At 40.0% G+C, this 22,136-nt stretch overlaps 1 protein-coding gene and 1 long non-coding RNA gene across 5 annotated transcripts in view, besides 2 other annotated features; one reads left to right on the top strand and one right to left on the bottom strand.

The window, feature by feature from the left end:
* Positions 1–22,136, top strand: part of FGF12 (fibroblast growth factor 12) — a 588,152-nt gene that overhangs the window by 210,770 nt on the left and 355,246 nt on the right. The window contains exon 1 of one of the 4 annotated variants that reach the window (XM_005247227.3): positions 1,493–2,105. The exons of the other annotated variants lie outside the window; for them this stretch is intronic. Within the exon in view, the coding sequence (XP_005247284.1) occupies positions 2,015–2,105 (91 nt within the window). The 5' untranslated portion in view covers positions 1,493–2,014. Of the gene's footprint in view, positions 1–1,492; positions 2,106–22,136 lie in introns of those variants that run through there. 4 annotated transcript variants of the gene reach the window in all.
* Positions 188–1,387: an enhancer, noted in NCBI's record as "CDK7 strongly-dependent group 2 enhancer chr3:192233174-192234373 (GRCh37/hg19 assembly coordinates)". NCBI's record gives its function as "activates an origin of replication core promoter dependent on BRD2, BRD4, P300/CBP, MED14 and CDK7 cofactors, with strong dependence on CDK7, by STARR-seq in HCT116 cells {active_cell/tissue: HCT116}" and the evidence as "EXISTENCE:reporter gene assay evidence [ECO:0000049][PMID:35650434]".
* On the bottom strand, positions 199–1,750 carry FGF12-AS2 (FGF12 antisense RNA 2). Its single transcript, NR_046598.1, has 2 exons — positions 1,264–1,750; positions 199–291 (listed from the first exon to the last, which is right to left on the bottom strand). It is a non-coding gene; the product is annotated as an FGF12 antisense RNA 2 (long non-coding RNA).
* Positions 2,478–2,772: a silencer, noted in NCBI's record as "tiled region #196; HepG2 Repressive non-DNase unmatched - State 10:DNaseD, and K562 Repressive non-DNase unmatched - State 10:DNaseD". NCBI's record gives its function as "represses a minimal TATA promoter and a strong SV40 promoter by Sharpr-MPRA in HepG2 and K562 cells {active_cell/tissue: HepG2 | K562}" and the evidence as "EXISTENCE:reporter gene assay evidence [ECO:0000049][PMID:27701403]".

Genomic DNA, 22,136 nt, shown 5'->3' with positions numbered 1-22,136 from the left:
AAAGAGCTTGTGATACCACTGAACAACAGGACTAAGAGGCGACTAGAAAGAAAGGCCTGGGCATATCTTCTTGAATCTTGGAATCACCCCAAATGACCTTTCCTGGAGCTTCAGCTTTGAAAGGAGCTAAGAGGGTGTGAACCCAGGTGGTGGCTGTAAACTCAAGCGGCCCTCCAGATGTTCTGGTTTTTCTTCCATCACCTCTGAGAGAAAAAAGGAAGAGACTTCTTCCAGGCAACTTCAAACATCATTTCAAGTGTTAGGGAGCCAGTGGAACCGCGAATGTTTAGCCTATATAAGAGAAAGAGAACAGGTGTGATGCAAACCATTTTTACTCCCTTGCAGGGAAGAGCTAACCAGTTAGTGCTAGGCAGCCTTGAGACAATGGATGGAACAAAGGTGAGGTCAGTTGTTGGCTCAACCTCAGGGAAAACCTAACAGTTTTCGTGCAATGAATTACCTAGGGAGCTGCTGAGTTCACTGTCACCTGGATTATTCAAGCAGAAATTCACTGGTATGAACACTGGCATTCATCGGAAAGTGAAAATGATTCACAACCCTACAGGTGGGGTCTAAATAATAATAATTGCAAACACTATTTTAGCACTTACTTTAAAACAAGTGTTTTCTTAACTCTCAGGGGGTGTGTGAGACAGATGCTATCTTTAACTTTCTTTTAAAGATGAGAAAATTGAGGGACAGAGCGGTTAAGTAATTTGTTCAAGGTCACACACCTAGTAGGAATTTGAACTTAACGCTGCTTGTCTCTAGTGTCTGTGCTCTTAATCACTTGTATTGCTAAGTGTCCCCTAAAGTCCCCTCTTGCCCTGAGATTCCACATAGGGTTACGTCCTGTCACTTCGACAGCATTCTTCCCATGCTTACTCATTGCACTTCCAAAAGGGCATTGTTGGCATCAGGAAAAGAAAAAAAAAAAGAGTCAAGGGGGCTGCTGGGAAAAAAAAATCGAGATCTTTAAACTCATGGAGAAGCTGTTTGGTCATCGGGGCGGGCTGGCAGAGGCAAAGCCTGCCAGAATACTGGCGCCAAAGCGAAGCGCTCTTTTGTCTTCAGATTTCTCGCCTCACCTGCCTCCTCTCCCTCTGTCCCTTCTAGCTCCACTTCCCACTGCACCTATGCTAAGCTTTTCTAGGAGCCTGAAAGGCACGGGGACAAACAAGCACGCCGCTGCCAATCCTCTATCTCACACCCTCTTCCCCACCCAGATTGACGGGGAGACGCCCAGGGTGGTAAGTGACTTACCCAAGGACACAGAGCCCCGACCAGAAAATCCAGGTGTCCAGACTCCCACATCGGCACTCTGTCCACGCCTACGCACACCTGACTTCTCATAGCCGGCACCCAGGAGCTTTCTTTATTCCACGTCCCCGCCTCCCTACCCCACCCCCTAGTTCCCTAGAGTCGCTTCTGACGCTCTGCAGCCTCCGGGGTCCAGCCCTCCCTGCGGGTGCTTCCCTTCCGCCGGATTCCCACACCGGAGTCGCCCTTGGCCGCGCGCAGCCCGCGGGACCGCTGCCTTCCGGGCTGGAAGCCGCGCAGCCCTCTCAGCGCCTCAAGCCCGGGACGGCTGGGACACCGAGGTAGTCGGGCTCCCAGGGCACAGGGTCCGGCACCGAGGGCAGGAGCAGGGGAGGTGCCAAGGACCCCGGTCCAGAAGGCACCTGTAAGGAAGCACCGACCCGCAGTGACGTCCTCCGCGTCGTCCTCAGACCAGCCACCGCCTCCGGAAGGTCTCAAGGGGCCGTGCTCGAGCCCACCGAGGGGTGGCAGCGCCTCGGGCTCTCGGAGGGCTGCCCCCGGCGGACCGGCACTTCCGCGTCCCGGCCCGCCCCCTGCCGGCGCCCGGGCTCCCTCCGGCTCCATGTGCAAACTCCCCTCCACCTGGGCGCGCGCGATGGACTCGGGACCCGGCTTCCGAAGACAGGCCGCCTGTTGGTTGGACTACTAGCGCAGGTGGGCGGGGAGTTGACCAACCCCACACACGCGCTTCTCCATGAAGATTCTTGAGCTTTCTCTGAAGAAAGGAGTGCATATGCTGCAGTGTCTCTGTGGAAGGAGCCTGAGGTCCAGCGACAGCCCAAGTGGTGAGAAAATGTTCTTTCCCCAGCCCCCAAACACTGCAGAATGCCCCCTTCCCTTCTTCCGGGGCCCTCTCCGCCGCCCTCCTCTGCTTCATTCAGCGCTGCCTGTGGCGGAGGGAAGGCGTTTCCCGACTGGGGCGAGGTCAGGGCCCCTCCGCTGGTTCTGTCTGTGGGTATTTTTTCTTTTAAATCCCTGAAGTCATCGACGCTTTGTAGGGAGAGCGCGTTGGCTTTCGCCGGGCGCGCCTGGGCTGAAACCTGCGGGTCTCTCTCCAAGCGGCGCTGGCCGTGACCTGCGTTCGCACCTTCTCGCGGCCCTCTCTGCGATTTGCGAGGGCGGCGCGCGACTTGGAGTTGTTCAGTGTCTCCGAAAAGTTGCTCGTGCGTTCCACAGGAGAGGGGACTTTTAAACAGATGGCTGGCAAGGCAGGTATATTTTCTTTTTCTTGCTTTGTCTGAAAAGTAGACATCTGGCGGTGGTTAGGGGTACGTTTCCCCTGGAGATTTAGCGATTTCTGTCCTTGGTGCTGAAGTAGGAGGGTCCCAGTTAGCCTTGGGCTTCAACCGGGTGCCCTGGGAAAGACTACACGGAGGAAAAGAAAGAAAATCAGAACCTTTGAATGAACTGAGATATTGAGAAAGGCCATTAAAAATTGAATGAAAAAAACCCCACCAAACTAATATCAAATAAGTGTGATTCTTTTATGCTGAAGTCTTGCAAAATGGTGTGCTGTTTCACCACGTTTCCTCCATTGTCTATCTCTAATTGTTTATAAAGTTCTTTAAAAGGTTTGTATAAGTTATCTTTAAAGTGGTGTGTCTATTAATCTTGCAAGGGCTAATTCAGTTTCTGTGTCTTGATTTTCCTTTTACAAACTGGGAGTGGGGTGTGGGAAGAGAACAATGACACCCTAATACATCTAGACAAGTGTCTTTTTGCCAAGAAATATACGTTTTTGGTCCATGAATTCCAAATAATTTTACTTTTCAAAAATTTAACAACATTATACAAGATTTCGTGTTTAAAACTCCATATGTTATTTTGGAGAGTCTGATTCATTTGGTTATGGCACCTATTTTCACTCTGTTCTTGAGCTATGAAAATTATATTTGGAAAGATTATAATATATGTAGGTTTCATTCATTCTTATAGATCTTTGACTTTGTGGTTACTCATCAGTCTAAATGAAATATAAAACTACTTAAAAAGACCTAATTAGAATTAAATAGAAAACTACTAAAAAGAACTGATTTATGAAATTGCAGAACACACTTTCAAAATGGAATCAGCAACGAGATCTCATTTTTACTTCCATGCAGTTCGGAAGATTATTTGTACATTATTTTTTGCCATTATATTTGTAAGTACTAAAACGCATCATACCACTATATTCTAAACGAAGTGGCTTTATGTTAAAGTTTCGTGTTTTGATATACATATTTCAAGAAGCCAGTAGAGATATGTGTTATTATTTCATTTTTTCCTGGTCCACAGTAAATATAATGTGAATAGATCATAACTTGGGTATATGTCTCTTAGAGGTGAAAATTTTAAAACTGTGTAGGGTATGTAATGAAGACAGGGCAGTCTCTCATGTCAAATTAGGAAAGATATTCAGTTTACCTGCAGAGTCAGTTTCCTAAATAGCGATAGATCCAAATAGAAGGGTTAACTTATGTGATTGGACAGCATAGTTTGTTGCAAGTATGGGACTGATTTAGTTGTAACACATTCTCAATAAGTCACTACCCATCTTTGAAACTCATTATTTTTATCTGACAACAGTGGAAATGATAGACATAGCCTGTTATATATATATATATATATATATATTTATTTGAGTATACTCTAGGTTTAACAGTGAGTCTGTGAAAACTTGTGTTTTATTTATATATGCATTTTTACTTAGTGGGGTAGAGGAATTCTTGTAAAATGGTATTTAGTTCCAAGTAGTGAAGTTTCCTTCCCACCCTTTCCACAGACAGAGGTAATATACGGTTTTGTATCAGAAGACTGTTTCTGGGAACTAAACTACCTTTACGAAAATTGTGACTCTTTTAAACTTATGATCTAGTGTAACTAACATGGCCTTGCTGTTTCCTAATTAGTGCATAAATGTAAATTACTATAATAATGGTACCTACCTAATAGATTGTTGTAAGCATTAAATGGATTAATAGCAGCTAAAGATTTAGTTGAGCTCTCATAGTATGCCAGGCACTGTTATAAGAACTTTAAGCCTACTATACACCATGTGCTTAGTATATTTTAGGTCCTTTTATCATTGTGTTCTATTTTAAAGCGATATTTTTTTCATGTGGTCTGTGCCATTAGTATGACCTCACAGCAATTTTTCATGTAATATTGCCATGCCCAGTGTGCATATGCAAATTGAGGTAATGATATCAAACATTTTTTTTCACAGAGCAAATGTATAAAAACAGCTCAGATGAACCACTCTAATTTTTAAAACTAACTTAAGGAGAAATTAAGTAATATTTTAAACAATGTAAGCATGTATAACAAAGTTTTATGCCAGCTGCTTCTTCTCCATTATTTTACAGTTGAGGGAGGTGAGGTCCACAGAAAGGAAATAACATAATTTGTTACAGTAGGTTAAGAGATTCTCCTAACAGATTGCTGAATAGTTGGAATTATAAGCATTTTGATATTTTATTTAAGTTTTATTAAATGAATAGTACTAAGAAAATATAAACTAATCATTTATTTTGAGCTTTTTAGTATCATTAAAATATATTATTGCTCCGGTCTTTCCTCTACATTATCAGATATGAATGTCTTGTCTAGTTTATCCATCATATTAGTTTCTGAGTCCTTTGTACTGCAGTAGGATGGGTATAAGCTATCAAATGGAGGACAATCTCAGACAAGGTTGAGTGGATTGTTTAAGGCTAAATTCTGGGTCTCTTATGATTCTTTTTTTTCCATTTCTCAAAATGAATTTTTTTAAGCATGTAAAACCCATCCATTAAATGAAAGATTTCAAGTTTAAGATGCTAAACAATATTGCTAAGGTTAAATGGCACTTGTATTAATCTGATAATATATTAAGTTTTTAGTTTAAAGGGGAAGTAAAGCAAGTTCATTTTTCTCTAGAGATAGAAACTTTACAAAGAAAAAGACTCACAGAAGAGTAGTGATTAAAACAATAGCTAATGCCTATTCCCATTCCTCTCAAAATGTAGTCAGGGGAAATGTGGAAGCAATCCATCAGAGTGGTGTTAAAATTGCAGGTTCCTCATCACTTCAGCAGGAAAGACCATTAAAATGTTGTAGAAGAGGAATTCCTGTCCTAATGATCAGGCTCCTGAGAAAGCTGGGTTAAGTCTCAATCTGAAACAGAAGGGCAGCATTTTTGGCAGTAGGTCCCTACAGTAGTAGTAATAGTAGCAGGTGTGTGTGTGTGTGTGTGTGTGTGTGTGTGTACACACAATTGCTTCCTTGCTTGCCTGTGTTATCACTTGGGCTGCCCCAGAAAATCAACCTCCTTCTGTGTATAGTTATGACTCTTCTGCGTTATTTACTCAGGGGCTTCTCAGGCTGGTAGCCTGAAGGATTATCAGATGCCTAGAGACTGAGCTAAACAATCACATCAAGTGGCCTTGATGTGGAATTGAAACACTGTAGGCAAAAAAAACCTCAACGATCCTATAAAAAACACATACCTCAAACTCCATCTTTCCTAATCCCTGAAAACCTATGGCCTTTTTACTATCTCTATAGTTTAGCATTTTCTAGAATGCCATATGGTTGGAATAATATAGTGTGTAGCCTTTTTATATTGACTTCTTTCACTTAGTAATATGAATTTAAGTTTCCTCCAGGTCTTTTCATGGTGTAATAGCTCATTTCTTTTTAGCACTGCATAATATTCCATTGCGTGGATGTACCACAATTTATTTATCCATTCACCCACTAAAGAACATCTTGGCTGCTTCGAGACTTGGAAATTATGAAGAATAATGTTGCTATAAACATCCTTGTGCATGTTTTTCTGTGAACATAAGTTTTCAGCCTGTTTGGGTAAATATCAAGGAGCACAGCTATTGGATTGTATAGCAACAGTGTTTAGTTTGGTAAGACAGTGTCAAACTGTCTTTCAAAGTTGCTGTAGCATATGGCTGTCCCACCAGCAATGAATGCAGGTTCCTGGTGCTCCACATTTTTGTCAGTGTTGTCAATGTTTTGGATTTTGGGCATTCTAATAGGTGTGGAGTAATTTCTCATTATTGATGCAATTTACAATTCCCTGATGACATATGATATTGAATATCTTTTCATATCCTTGCTTGCCACCTGTGTATTTTCTTTGTTGAGGTGTCTCTTAATGTCTTTTGACCAGTTTTAAATCAGGTTGTTCATTTCTCATTGTTGAGTTGTCATTAGCACTTTTCACCCAATATTTTGGGTCCTTCTGCTGGGCATATTGTTGGATGGCATTATCCCATTCACTGGAAGTTAGGTGTGGCCGTATGACTTGCTCAGACAAATGAAATGTGAGCAGAAGTGACACACTGGAAGCTTTCATAGCCTGAGCACAACTCACCTCAGGTTCTTTGCTGCAGCTGACATTCAAGGCAGTGGTTACTCCCTTAGCCTGTGTACCTGAGTATCTGTGATGAAGAGCCCCGCCGTATGACCTATGATAGACATTTAATGCAAATAAAAAGTTAAAACTTCTTTTTGTGAGTAACTTCAATTTTTAAGTTAGTGTATTATCTAACTTGCCTTTGTTGATATAATAAGGCGGTGCAGCTTAAATAATAAGATTTAATGGAAAGTTACTGAGCTATGTTGAAGCCTGTTTTCAGTTAAAATGCTCTAATTTCTCTGTGATATCATGTGTAGTATATAATAAATAGATGTATTGATTTCTGTTTGTAGTCTTTTGATAATTAGCTTAGCATACCAAATTATGAGGTTTTGTTATTACCATTCTAGTTAGTGTGTGTCCTGAGGCTAGTTGGTGCATTATTCCTTAAATGATATCGATCTCTTTTCCAAAGATGTAATTAATCCCCACTGATGTTTTCCAAGAACTTTGAGATTATTCTTTCAAAGTTGTAATTTAATTGCAAGACTCTGAAAAACTCAGTCATTCCTTTCTACTTACTCTAAAATGTGGAAATTACCTTTTGAGGCTCCCGATCACATCTAGGAGAGGAAGAGTTATCTCCATTGCCTGGAAAGCACTGACAATGTGGTAGCTTTCATCACTGCTGCAGTTTTGCCAGGCAATGGAAACTGCAAATAAATGCTCCTTTTCTTCTCTCAACTTATAAACAAAGAGTTGTGTGCATTGGGAAGAATATCAGGGAAGTAGTTTATGGTGAAAGGATAGGCTCAATGCTCCCATCTGGCTCATGGGCCAGCAATCCATTTGCCCGACTCTGTGTTAAGCACAGCAGAAGAGAGAAGGGAACCCAGACTTTTTCTGAAGCCTAGGATACTTGCACCATGCCAATTAACCTTCCAAATTGCCACCCCTCCCTTCTTTCTTTCCCTCTCCATCTGAGATTAGAAAGTTAGAGAAATATGTCTCTTGCTTCAGAGATTGCCATTTTCCAATTTAGCAAAAAAAAAAACCCTTCAGGATTGATTGTATCTAGGTTCTGTTTCAGGCAATAGAGACTCAGCAGGGAACTCTATACCTATAAGCAAAAGGTGTCATACAAGGCCAAAGTGCCAAAATGAAGTAATTAGGAGTCTCAGTTTGTTTCAGTTCAACAACCCTTACTTGATTTAATGTTTAATGGTAGAAGTCACCTCAAGGAAGGAATAATTAATTCAATCTAAGATTCATGATAATCTCTCTGAGCTTGAAAAGCATTTAGGAGTTCACAAGGAAGTGCTGGGGTATGACAGATGAGAGCTTTAATGGAAATGAGTAGTATCTCTGTATATTTTACTGGAAAAAAATGTGTTTGAATACAACTAAGATAAAGATATAAAAAGAAGCAATTTTTAACAAAAGGCAATTACTCTACAACTCAGTTCAAGTCTACTTAGCTTTGCCCATATTCAGATATCCTGCAAAGTTATCTATGTGATACCTTTTCTCTGCTCTTGCTTCAACATAAATCCATTTATTTACAGCCAGATATATTAGAAATCAGCTTCTTAGAAAGGTGCAAGTTCTATTCTGTGGTACCAGAGTTATAAAGAGACATCCAGCGAGTACTTATAGATCTGTTATCTCAGTTTCTATGGAGTATCTTAAAACAATGGAATTATTGTTCTTTGTCTAATTTAGTGTATGCAATTGTTATCCTTATGCCATGTAATTTTCACTGGACAATATTATGAATGTCATGTTTGAATATTTCTTCTGATGCCATTAAATGTGGGGCATTTGCATTTCATAGGGTGACAATCAGAAAGATACTGTGACTTTTTTTGAGACAATCTCTCTTTCTGAAATGATCTTTCTTGTTTATACATAAGCTTCTAGTACCGACCTACCCCCTCCACTCATTACTGTTTATAGAAACGATAGCATTGCAGTTGGTGTCACTGATTGCCCACGTTGTTACTTCAATGAAGCCAGCTGGGATGCGATTGCATGGTCTTTAAATAAAACTTAGTGACACAAGATGAATCTCTTTTTTTGAGGGGAGAGGGGTTGTTGCTAGCTGGATCATTTTTCTAAGGCACTAATTATTTGCTTAACTTGGAGGAACTTGAGAACCAGTGAATCGCCATGTTGGTTCAGCATCTGACCTTGGCTCTAAGGAACTTGTGGGTGGATAGCAGAGTTACAGTCATTATGAAGCCATTCTCAAAATGATGATGATGATGATCCTTTTACCCCAACTAATTCCACCATTATGCAAATAAGTCTTTGACTAGAGATAGTAGATGTGCCTGTAGTTCCAGTTCCTAAAAGGCTGAGGCCAGAAGATTAATTGAGATCAGGAATTCTGGGCAGTAATAGCCCTTTCAGCCTGGTGACAGTCTTCTGTTCACAAGCAGCCTGGGGATTACCTAAAAGTGGTGAAAAGGAGAGTGAAAAGTTGGTGTTGCATTGTCTAAAACTGCCATGGTACGGAATATGGAGAACATCAATCATTACCTTTGACCTTTGGGCTTGCAAATCTTATCGTGAGATAAAGTAAGATAGCATTCCTCCTTACAGTTATAGAAGACAAATTAGGAAACCGAGACTTCCCCAGGTGAAGATTTAGGTCTATGTACATTATTTTATCCTGAAAAAATTTATAAATTTTAAATATATTTATATCTATTTAAAATGTCTGTGTGCTTGTATGTGTGTGTGTGTGTGTGTGTGTGTGTGTGTGTGTGTGTGTGTGTGTATTTGGTCAAATGCATTAAAAATTGCTAATGGCAGTATAAACTACAACTAAATGCTAAGCCCCTTAATTGACTGACTGGACCCCCCTCTCAACCAAGAGGCTCACCCCAGAAGAGCCTTAAAAGCTGTAAAAACTGAGTTCATGGCCGGGCACAGTGGCTCACGCCTGTAATCCCAGCACTCTGGGAGGCCGAGGCGGGCAGATCACGAGGTCAGGAGATCAAGACCATGCTGGCTAACACGGTGAAACCCCGTCTCTACTAAAAATACAAAAAAATTAGCCGGGCGTGGTGGCAGGCGCCTGTAGTCCCAGCTACTTGGGAGGCTGAGGCAGGAGAATGGCGTGAACCCAGGAGGCGGAGCTTTCAGTGAGCCGAGATCACACCACTACACTCCAGCCTGGGTGACAATGCAAGACTCCATCTCAAAAAAAAAAAAAAAAACTGAGTTAATGGCCATGACTAGATGGGAGGTCAGATTCGCCGTTATATCCTCTCTGTTTTGCAGTTTAGACACAACTGACCAGCATTGTTAAAATGGAGATCATACGGCTGTTAGAACAGACTCTTTGTGGCCAAAAATTAGCAAATTATAAATAGAATCTAAAGCCATCCCAGGCAAGGGTTAAGTTATGCACCCCTACACTTAAAGAATAAACTATGTTAGCCGGGCTCGGTGGCTCACGCCTGTAATCCAAGGACTTTGGGAGACTGAGGTGGGCAGGTTACTTGAGGCTGAGAGTTCAGGACCAGCCTGGCCAACGTGGTGAAACCCCATCTCTACTAAAAATACAAAAAATTAGCTGGTTGCAGTGTTGCGCAGCTATAATCCCAGCTACTCTGGAGGCTGAGGCAGGAGAATCGCTTGAACCTGGGAGGCGAAGGTTGCGGTGAGCCGAGATCATGCCACTGCACTCCAGCCTGGGCTGCAAAGGGAGACTTCGTCTCAAAACAAAAAAACAAAACGAACAAAACAAAAAACAAAAAAAGAATAAACTATGTTCTAACTGCCACAGGATATTTGTTTTTCTGTAGCAGCTAAACAGGCACTGGCTTTGAGATAAGCAATGTTGAAACAATTACAGCTCCACCAAATGCTAACTGACCCCCAACTTCTCTTCCACAAGTGATAACTGTAGCTTTGATTGGACAAGAGATTGATATCAGTAACTTTCTCCTGATAAGAGACCATTGACCATGCACTGGCTCTGGCTGGCTTACAGAAGCTATGCACTTGAGTGCCTTCCTATCCCTGCTTCACCTTTTGACCCACTGGGCCCAACTGTAATACACTTAATATTAAGCCTCCACCCCAAAGTGAACATAGGTCATATGTTACATGCATATTTGTTCAGTATGCATGCATCAGAACTACTTTCATGAATATTCGTAACTCCTCCTATATTAGCCACCCTGTTTAGCATAAAGCTCCCACCCCAACCCTCCTCCTTCGAAGTTCGTGTGTCTGGTCTTCGCCAGAGCTACACTTCCCAGCCTGTGGGAATGGCCACTTAGCAGGCTGTTACCCTCGATAAGAAATAAAATCTCCTTCCCAGATTTATAATTCTGTGATTTTTCAATTAACCGCAGTTACCTTTAGGGAATTTGACAGCTGAAAAGGAAGACTAGCTTTTTACTTTACATGTGTTTATATTATTTAAATTTTTATTAAAAATGTGTTTCTTTTATAATTAAAAACTAGTGATTATATATATATTCAGATTATGCAGTTTTCTGATGATAGCACAAGACTTTGAAAATGTAAAATCTCTGTAGAGTAAGAAAATCTCTTATAAATCTATAACCCCAATATAATCTCTTCTATTCTATGCGTGTGAATTTTTTAAACAAAAGTTATCACACAAACATTAATATGTTTTGTTTCCTTTCTATGGGACTAAACAATTATTCTAAATATGGAAAGAGGTACATATATTGAAATATTTGGAACATATATTTTTTCCAAAAGGATTTACAAGCAGCTATTAGTAATGATTACTTGAAGAGAGAAACTTCTGAAGCAGCGGGAATGAGGCTTTCCCGTTTTAGCTTTGTGCATTTCTGTGCTGTTTCTAATGATGTGTACATATTGACTTTATTTAAATATAAGTAAGGGTGTAGCTAGGTGGAGAATAGTGAATCATTTTTGTTTCTTTTTTTTTAAGCTTGTCTGTATTTAAAAATACTAATGGATATGCCATTTTACAAAAGATTCTCCCAAACATGATTTTAAATTACGTTATGGAATGACATTACAGGTCTGTACCATACGTACCAGTCTACTCAATGCCATTTGATATTTAGATTTTTGTGTGTGCTGTGGGCTTGGGGGAGGACATCAGTAATAACTTTTCTTTCATTTTCTTCCTTTGAACTCCCTCCTTCATTCTGAGTTCCAGACAACTGAGAAAATACAGAAACTTGTCAAACAGATGGCTATCCACCTTCTTAGTTGATTGCTGGAATACTAGATTGGAGAAGATCAAAATGGAACTTAGCACCTTTCTCCCAAAACTAAATCTTGACACGTCGAACTCACCAGAGGGAAGGTCTGGGTCTACAGAGAGGACTCATCTGCTGAGAATCCCCGCCTCATCTTTGTTGAACCCCAATAGTAGTGTGAGAGAGATTTGGGTTCCACATCTACCTGTAGAGGCAGGTCGAGGTCCTGACCCATTAGTGCCTACTCAGCAGCTCAGGATGTGTCCAGCCTGTGGCCAGCCTGATCCACAGAGAAAGAAACAACAGGCTACACTTCACGTGTTCAATTTCCCCCCGATCTCACCAAACACACAAAAGTTTTCTCTTCCCTGGAAAAGAGTGAGAAGAATGGATGGAAGGGTAAAGACTCTTATTTCCAATACTCTGGGAAAGGCAGAAGTGCCTCTTTTGTGGGCCAGGAAGTAACTGTGGAAAGTGAGAGAGCAAATGTTAACTCTTACAGTGTGTAACTTTCAAAGGCATAGATATTCTTTTATTTATTATTTTCACTTTTCTTTTAGGTTCAGGGGTACATGTACAGGTTTGTTACACAGGTAAATTGTGTGTTGTAGGGATTTGGGGTACAGGTTATTTCATCACGCAGGTACTAAGCATAGTACCCAATAGAAAGTTTTCTGGTCTTCACCCTCCCCACACCCTCCACTCTCAAGTAGGCCCTGGCGTCCGTGGTTCCTCTCTTAGTGTTTATATGTCCTCTTTCTTTGTCTCCCACTTATAAGTGAGAACATGCAGTATCTGGTTTTCTGTTCCTGTGTTAGTTCGCTTAGGATAACGGCCTCTAGATCTATCCATGTTGCTGCAAAGAACGTAATCTCATTCTTTTTTATGACTGCATAGTATTCCATGGTGAATGTACCACATTTTCTTTATCCAGTCTACCACTGATGGACATTTAGGTTGATTCCATGTCTTTGCAAAGTGAACGGTGCTGCAATGAACATATACATGCATATGTCTTTATGGTAGAATGATTTATATTCCTTTGGGTATCATGAGGTCAGGAGATCAAGACCATCCTGGCTAACACAGTGAAACCCCGTCTCTACTAAAAATACAAAAAATTTAGCCGGGCGTGGTGGCGGGCGCCTGTAGTCCCAGCTACTCCGGAGGCTGAGGCAGGAGAATGGCATGAACCTGGGAGGCAGAGCTTGCAGTGAGCCGAGATTGCGCCATTGCACTCCAGCCTGGGTGACAGAGTGAGAGACTCCATCTCAAAAAAAAAAAAAAAAAACACACACACACACACCAAAAAAAAAAAACCAAAACAAAAACTAACAATCACCATAATATCCATAGAATTCAGAAAAAAATTCAATTTGGTTTTTCACGGATAAAAAATGTAAAATGGTATTGGGCAGTAATTTGGCTGTAACATATAACTTGGGTGATAGTCTTTTAAGTGATTTTGGATCACTGATTTTTTGGAATTCGGCATAGTAACACTACTACTGAATAGTCTATGGTGATCCATTTTCAACCCTCTCTTATGTTGGTAGATTATTCAGAGGATCAGGACAGGAGGCAAGCCAAAGTCATATTAAAATTTAACATTATAAATTATATAACAAAAATTTTTGACCTCATTAACCTGTGACTAAAAAGTAAATTCACTTTTATTTCTCAAGTCCTGACAGCTGGGCTCATTGAGTAGACTGCCGATTTTTCATTTTCTTGCTGTTTTTCTGTCACCAAGTAATTTCTAAGAAACACTGTAAGTATTTATACATTCCACAAATTTATCCTGGTGTTTATTTGACATATCCACCAACTTTCCTCGAAAACTCAGAACCGCTGAGGCGCAAGAACTTTGCCACTCTCCTCTTTCAGTCTTAAGAAAAAACAGACTGTGGGTCTTTGGAATAATTTGCTGAATTCCTACAGAAAACAAAAGTGTATTACAGTGCAGAAAATGGAAATGTTAAGCTAGATATTAGCTATCACTGCTTCTACAGCCCTTAGGCCATGTGCTTCCCTAGAAGAGCCTCTTCGTCTTCTCTCTTTAACTTCTAGCCTAGATATGCATAATGGATATTCTTTGTTTCCTCTAGCAATTAGGCGCTACTCCCAATTCCATAGAGAAAATTCCTGCTCCCATTCCAACGTTAGTTGCTTTTCTTACTGCCACATGACTGAAGGTAGAGCATCTCTGTCTTTTAGGAGAAACGCTTGTACCACAGGGCATGGTCTGGCCACTCCTGGTACAGAAAAGTAATCACAGTAGTTATCTACACAGTCTGGCCACTCCTGGTCCAGAAAAAGTAATCACAGTAGTTATCTGTACATTTCTATGTGTTTGGGTTATTTCATTTTAAACACTGGATGAGAAACACTAAGAGTCTGGCCCAAGTAGCATTACACCTTTCCATTATCTGTTATACAACGTAGATTGCAAAGAGATTAGTCTGACATGCTCTTCTTGGGATGATCTGTTCTCACAGACTTTTAGGAAAAATAAGACGTTCTTCTAAGAATGATAAACAAGGATTTTCAAACAGGGCAGCCAAATGCAGAGGAAAAATTTTTAAGTCTGCTTAAACTTGGTTCTGCTTAAAATATACCCAATGTAAATTACTAAACAAAATACTTAACACCTCGTTGGAAGCATCTGTTACAATGGTGGTGGTGGGAGGGGTATTTCCAAGAACAAAGAATGGGAAATGGACTTAGATTTGTATGATTAGAAAGACTCACAAGGCAGTCCCTCTCAAAACAAAGTAATTTCTAGGACAAGGGAAAATTCTCATCTCTACCCTAGGGAGCAACAATTACAAACACTTCCCAGACTGGTATCTATCTAGCTATAGGAATTTTAAAGGCCAGCCTCATTGGTCACCCTACTGCTTGAAGAGTTGAATGTTTTAGGTTTGGGAAAGAATGACATTATGAAATATTGCTTCATTTATATGTTTTCTTCAACTAGCATTACTAAGACCCATGTCATGTGCCAAGCAATGAGCCTGCATGAACCCTATTTTAAAAGAACTCACAGTTTGATAAGGGAGATAACATGTGAGCAAAACTGATCCTAATTAAGATATTAATGATGTCTAAAGTGTGCCATTCTTAATCAGCATTGTCATTGTTCTAGCAGAGACTGCTATGTTTAGAGTAGAAATAAATTCTCCCAAATATTTTTGTTTGTAGGTTATCTTCTCTGGCAATTACGGTTGGCTGCTGTCATTGTGTGCGTGTGCTCAGTTCCTATTCTAGTTGAGTGGTATGGTTGTTGTGTTGTTTTCACCACTCTCAGCTGGAAATATTCTATTTGTAGTTACTATTACGCTAACTAGCCCTAGATGAGTCATCATGATGATTTTGTTTTCCAAAATGCAATACTTATGGATTCCATGACTTCAACTGGAAGTAGAGTTCATGGCATTGGAATTGGGAAGGCACAGGAAGGAATAGAAGAAAAAATATATGTAGTTTGTTTTTAAGGTTAAGAAACAGAAATGTGCAGAGAATATGGTAACAAACACCAATACACCTAAAACTTAGAATGAACAAATTTGCTGACTTTATGTCATATTTATTTCAAGTTTTTTTAAATGAAGAAGTTAAATATTAGTGATACAATTAAAATTATTAGAACCCTTCCCAGCTCTATTCTCCAATTCTTTTTTTCTCAGGTGTAACAACTATAATGATTTTGGTGTGTGTCCCTCCAGTCCATGTGTTTACATTCTTAACATATATGTAATGGTTTTGAGTGTTTTAAACATTTATATAAATTATATCTAACTTTACTTATCTCTCTGCATCTTATTTTTCACTCAAATTTGTGTTTTTGAAATGTATGCCTGTTAAAAGAAATTTATCAAATTTAGAAAGAGGTAGCCTGATGTGAAATAGTCTACTACAGCGGCTGAGAGTATGGACTATGGAGCCACGTTGCCTGGGTTTTACGTGGCTCTGAGAGGTACCACTTATGCGATCTTGAACAACCTTCAGAGTTGTTCTTTAACCCCTCAGTGCCTCAATTTCTCCATTCATAAAATGGCAATAACAATAGCACCTACTTTATGGGGATTATAGTGAGGAGTAAAATGAGTTAATATATGCAAAGCTCTTAGGATAGTGCCTGGCACTTATTAAGCACAATGTAGTTATTTATTATCTGTATTTCACTTGGGAATGCATATTCAGTCATAGTAGGAGGAGCAGTCTTGCTTGGCTAATATTCTCTGATTTCTTACATTCATGTTAACTAGAAAAAAACATTCTGTGTTCAGAGTTGGATTAGTCTCAGAAGCAATTGGGCAGTAAATGAAGCAGAAAGAGTAGTAACCTGAACAGGATAGATTAGGCTGTTGCACAGCGGACTGGCATAGAGCGAAATTTGTAGCATCTGCTGAGAAATTGCCTGACTATTCTGTGTGTGTGTGGCGGGTGGGGGGATGTTGGATTTATTATATCAGCAATACCACAGGGACAAACTGAGAATGGTCTGAAATCCTATTCTATTTTCTAGACCTTCAATTGTAAATAGGTGCACTCTTGTCATCTCACCTTTTAAATGGAAAGGGCATGGTTCTTGGTTGAGCTGGAACTAGAGTGAGCACTTGAGACTCAAGTAAATCCTTCCAGGTGTGTAAGAGGAAAAATAACTGAAAGACAGTATGTGGAGCTGGGATTGTCCAGTGACTTCAGATCTGTGTCAGCTCTACTTTCCAAGCCACCTGGGCATCCTTAGCAGGTTTCTTATGTCCAAAAATAGCCAGCTGTCTCAGAAAGGTGTAAGTGCATTTCTAAGGCAGACATTGACAGAGGCAGGACTTTGTTTTGATTGATCTTCTCACCTCATGAATCCTTTAGGCATGACCAAGTTTCACTAATTCTAATGCACCTTGCTGTTATTATTGCAACAAAGATTTTAGGAAGAATAAAATAATACCTGGGTTGTAACTTTCTAATGAAGGTTACAGAGCTTAAGTGCAGAGAGCGTAAGTGACTTTAAATGCAGAATCTTAATATTTGGATCCTAGCAGGCCGGGCACGGTGGCTCACACCTGTAATCCCAGCACTTTGGGAGGCTGAGGCGGGCGGATCACAAGGTCAGGAGATTGAGACCATCCTGGCTAACACTTTAACTAACATTTTTAGTAGAAACTCCATCTCTACTAAAAATACAAACAATTAGCCGTGTGAGGTGGTGGGTGCCTGTAGTCCCAGCTACTTGGGAGGCTGAGGCAGGAGAATGGCATGAACCTGAAAGGTGGAGCTTGCAGTGAGCCAAGATTGCGCCACTGCACTCCAGCCTGGGCGACCGAGCAAGACTCTGTCTCAAAAAAAAAAAAAAAAAAAAAAAAAAAAAAAAATATATATATATATATATATATATGGATGCTAGCAACAATTGGAGGCATTGAATGCACCCTTTTAGTTGGCAGATTAATAAATTGAGGGCCAGTAAGCTTGAGATGTTTTTTCAAAGCCCCAAGTCTGTATAAAGTGGCTGGATCTTTGAATCCAGAACTTTTACCTCTTAGTACACTTGGGATTTGTAGACTTGTGACCTGGGTTGAAATCTAGTTATTTTGGTCACTCAATGCATGACCTTCGGCAAGTTTCTTAACCTCTTTGACTCTCAAAATTCTCATCTGTAAAGTGATTATGATCATCCTTGCTTCCATCAAAGCATTGTGAAGTTTAAATGAAATAGTGTACGTCCAAAGCGTAAAATATAAAAAGCATGACACAGATATAACTTATTTAGTATCACTGTTGTTATATTTGATGCATTCATAACACAAAGACTATATCAGGGATAAAAATAAAGCTTCATTTTATATCACCTTGGAGAGAGATTTAAAGGCAGAAGCAAATTATACCAACATGAATCTTACAGCTTCTTTGGCGTAAGAGGTATATCTTCCAATAGCTATTTTGTTGCACACAAATTTTTCTGACCTATTCTGTTATGATGCTGTTTACAGAAGATGCTATCCTTATCAGTTAAATAGAAACTTTTCAGTCTGTGTTGTGGACTGGGATAACATGATAGAGATTAATGCATTTTATTGATTTAAACTTGTTTTAAGGGTTTCACCAGTTACCAGTAACTAGACTCTTACAAAGTGTGTGGTAATGGACTCCAACATCCAGACTGACTTCTATTATTAAAGGCTTGTGTCACTCTAGTTCTCAGTCAATGGTGAGCAAATATATACTCAATCAGGGTTTAATTCCTAGGACCTACATGCATTTTTATCTGTAATCAAAGAGTAACTAGTAACTAGACTCTTACAAAGTGTGTGGTAATGGACTCCAATATCCAGACTGACTTCTATTATTAAAGGCCAGTCAATGGTGAGCAAATATATACCCAATCAGGGTTTAATTCCTAGGACCTACATGCATTTTTATCTGTAATTCAGAGAGAACAGTTGAACTACTTTTAGGTGTGGCAACCACATTAATGAACATCAGCTGTTAGTAAAAATAACAGCACAGGCAGAAGGAAATAGTAAAAGCTCACTTAAGCACTAGTGATTAGACACATTTAGACATAATTTTGTTTCTAGTAGGTGCCGGACTTTGGGCATACAAAGATAAGTCAACGCCTGCCCCAAGGAGTTCATAGTGTAGCCAGGGAGCAAATATATAATCAAAAGTACATCTTCAAAAATAGGTGCTAAAGATAAGAATAATTATCCACAGGAGCAAACAGAGATGAAAGCAAGTTATCATTCAAGTTGCAGTTTTAAAAATAAATAGGCATACACTTGGCATAGAAGGTGATGAGAAAGAACACTTTAAGTAAAAGGGAAAATGTGCACCGAGTCATGGGGCCAAGAAAGAACATGTGCTTCAGGCTGATGAATTTGCTCTTTCATTTATTCCTTCATTCATTTATTGATGGCCTACTGTTTGCCAGGTGCTATTTTAATTACTAGAGATTCAGTGGTGAGCCAAATAATGTTGATTTTGAAAGCTTATTTTCTAGTGCAGAAGTAAAACAATAAATAAACAACTTGCATGTGTATAATAGAATGTCAGGTGGTGATAGGTGCTATAAAGAGAATAAACCCATTGAGGGGATAGAGAGTGAAAGGAAGAACTCTTTGGATAGAGCAGTTTTCTCCTAGGGAATTGCTTTTTAGTAAAGACCAAGGAAGTGAGGAAGCAAGCCTGCAAATACCTGGGGAAGGTGTATCCCAGCTGGAAGGAACAGCAGGTGGAAAAGTCCTGAAGCAGGAAAAAACTTGGCATATTTAAAGAGGGGCAAGAAGAGCAGTGCGGCAAGAGCAAAGGGAAGAAGAATTGTAAGAAAGGAGATTATTTGGTGTCTTACACTGTGACATATATTTGGGAATGAGGATTATGGGAAGTCATGGAAGGATTTTGGACAACGGTGGCATGAGCCATTTACATTTATAAACGGATCCCTCTGTCTGCACTATGAAAACAGACTCTAACAGGGAGACCATTTAGTAGGCTATTCAGCATTTCTGGTGGGAGGTTTGGAATAGGGTGATAATGTGTTGAGTAGTGACACATAGTCTGACTTGGAATATATTTTGAAGGTAGAACTGTCAAGATTTGCTATTGATTGACAGCGGGATTTGAGAGAAAGAGAGTCCTCAAAAAGGACTCAAGTAATCAGTCCTGAGCAACGAGGTGAAGAGTGACACCTTTTACTGATTTGGGAAATAGAGTAAATCTGTGTTGTGGGGTGGAGGCGGCAGAGGGCGGAGGAATAAAGTGTTCTGTTTGAATGTGTTAAATTTCACATGGAGTAGAGAAGAGACATTGAATAGAAAGATAAAATTCTGGAATTTAGGAGAGACTCGGGCTGAGACATGAGTGTGTGATTCATCAGCATATAGATGATGGTATTTAGGACCACAGAACTGTATTTAGTCATGTAAGGAGTTAGTGTCAATATGGAAGAAAAGAGATATAAGGACTAAGCCTGCAATGTTCTATATTTAGCCATCAGGAGCTAAATCCTACCAAAAACCCAGAAGGAGTAGCTTGAGAAGTAGAGGAAATTCAGGAGAGTGTGATAACACAGGAATTAAGTGAACAAAGTGGCAGAAAGGAATGACCAGCTTGATGAGAGTTATCCACAATACGCAGACTGGGAATGGATCTTTTGACTGGGAAATGTGGAGGTCATTGGTAACCCTGGTGAGCAGTTTCGACGGAGAAGTGGGTGACAAAGTCTGATTTGAAAGGGCTCAGGAAACTAGAAAGTGAGGTAGTGGGGACAGTGAGTATGGAAAAATCTTTCTCTAAGAGTTTTGCAGTGAAGTTGTGTGGAGAAGTAAGGGAATGTGAGATGATGAGAACATTGTTTTTATGAAAAATATTATTAGCATATTTATATGCTGATGAGATAGATTGACTAGAAGAAGGAAAGCTGATGTTGCAGGAAAAAGACGGCGGATATTGCAAGTGTAAAAGCGTCTTCCTATGGCTGGCAAATGTCAGGCTTGGACCAGTATATCAGAGTCACATCAGACTCTTGTCAAACAGATTGCCTTGTCCTGCACCAGACCTCCTCTATCAGAAAGGTTCTGTATTTATATTTTAGAAAAGCTCCCCCCGAGATTATATTGTACAATTAGATCTGGGAACATTTGTTTTAAGCAATGTAAGATATTGCAGTGGTGGCAAGAATCCATTAGCTTGGGGTGGAAAGTTAGACGTTTTATAAATGTTTCATCTTGCTTCGGCTTTTCTTGGTTTTGAATTTCTCCTATTAAGAATGATCATAGCATTTGTGACTAGAGGCTGCTAATGGTTTTTGGAGTCCATGTGGTTTCTTTGGGGAGTATTTACATAAGAGTCTAGCTCTATTTATGATTAGAAAAACTTTAATCATGGATTTTAACAAATGGTTTCCTGTTTTTAAAAGTGAAGATTAGGCTGGGCACAGTATCTCATGCCTGTAATCCCAGCAATTTGGGAGGCCGGGATGGGTGGATTGCTGGAGCCCAGGAGTTCGAGATGAGCCTGGCCAACATGGGAAACCCTGTATATAAATATATATATAAATTAGTTGGGGGTGGTGGCACATGCTTATGGTCCCAACTACTCGAGGCTGAGTTGAGAGGATCACTTGAGCTTGAGAGGTCAAGGCTTCAGTGAGCCATAATTACGCCACTGCACTTAAGCCTGGGCAACAGAGCAAGACCCTGTTTCAAAAAGGTGAGGGCTATTGGATTTGGAATACAAAGGCCTAGGTTACAATTTTGTCTCTGTAATTTAAAAACTATGTGAATTTTGACAAGCTTTGTGTGTTATTTGAAAATGAGTGTGCTAATTCTTTCCTTGAGTTTACAGCATCCTGGAGTTCTGTAAAGATCAAGTAGGTCTAAAACACTTTATGATTGATAAAGACTTACACACACATATATAATATAGGTTTATATATATCATTGTTGTGAATTGTGGAAAACAGCTTTCATAAAAACAATTATATACTGCATGATGTAAGTATCTTGGGAAAAAACATTCATATTCTACTACTTGTGATGCAAAGTAAGACTGATTAAAATGTTTATGTACGGACACTTTATATATTCACATACATATATATAAGCATACATAGATATAAATGTGTATGTTGTTGTATAGCTTTGTTCAGTATAGCTTTGTTATTAGGTTTCTTCAGAGATTAGGATGATTTCTGGATTATGGCTAATGAGACTGTAGAAAATGTGTTAGTGGCCAGGTGCAGTGGCTCACGCCTGTAATCCCAGCACTTTGGGAGGCTGAGGTGGGTGGATCACGAGGTCAGGAGTTCAAGACCAGCCTGGCCAAGATGGGGAAATCTTGTCTCTACTAAAAATACAAAAATTGGCCGGGCGAGGTGGCGGGCACCTGTAATCTCAGTTACTCAGGAGGCCGAGGCAGGAGAATTGCTTGAACTTGGGAGGCAGAGTTTGCAGTGAGCTGAGATCGTGCCACTGCACTCTAGCCTGGGTGACAGAGGAAGACTCCATCTCAAAAAGAAAAATGTATTTTATATATATATATATATATGCATAGGCCCTCCAATTCTTCCCACAGCACTTTCAAGTATGTAGATAAGCCCTTGAGTTTTACTAGTGTTTCTCTGTACTACAACTGTGTTTCAATCTGTGTCCCACATATTAAATAAATCACAAATGAGAGAAGGAATAGAATGCATGATACAGTAGGTTGTACCATTGTATTCCATGCAGATCACAAAGCATTTGCAGGTGGGA

The sequence above is a fragment of the Homo sapiens genome, chromosome 3 (assembly GCF_000001405.40).
Source record: "Homo sapiens chromosome 3, GRCh38.p14 Primary Assembly".
In the NCBI taxonomy this organism is placed as follows: Eukaryota; Metazoa; Chordata; class Mammalia; order Primates; family Hominidae; genus Homo; species Homo sapiens.
Note: the sequence above shows the minus strand (reverse complement) of the source record. Positions and strands in the feature narration are given on the sequence as shown.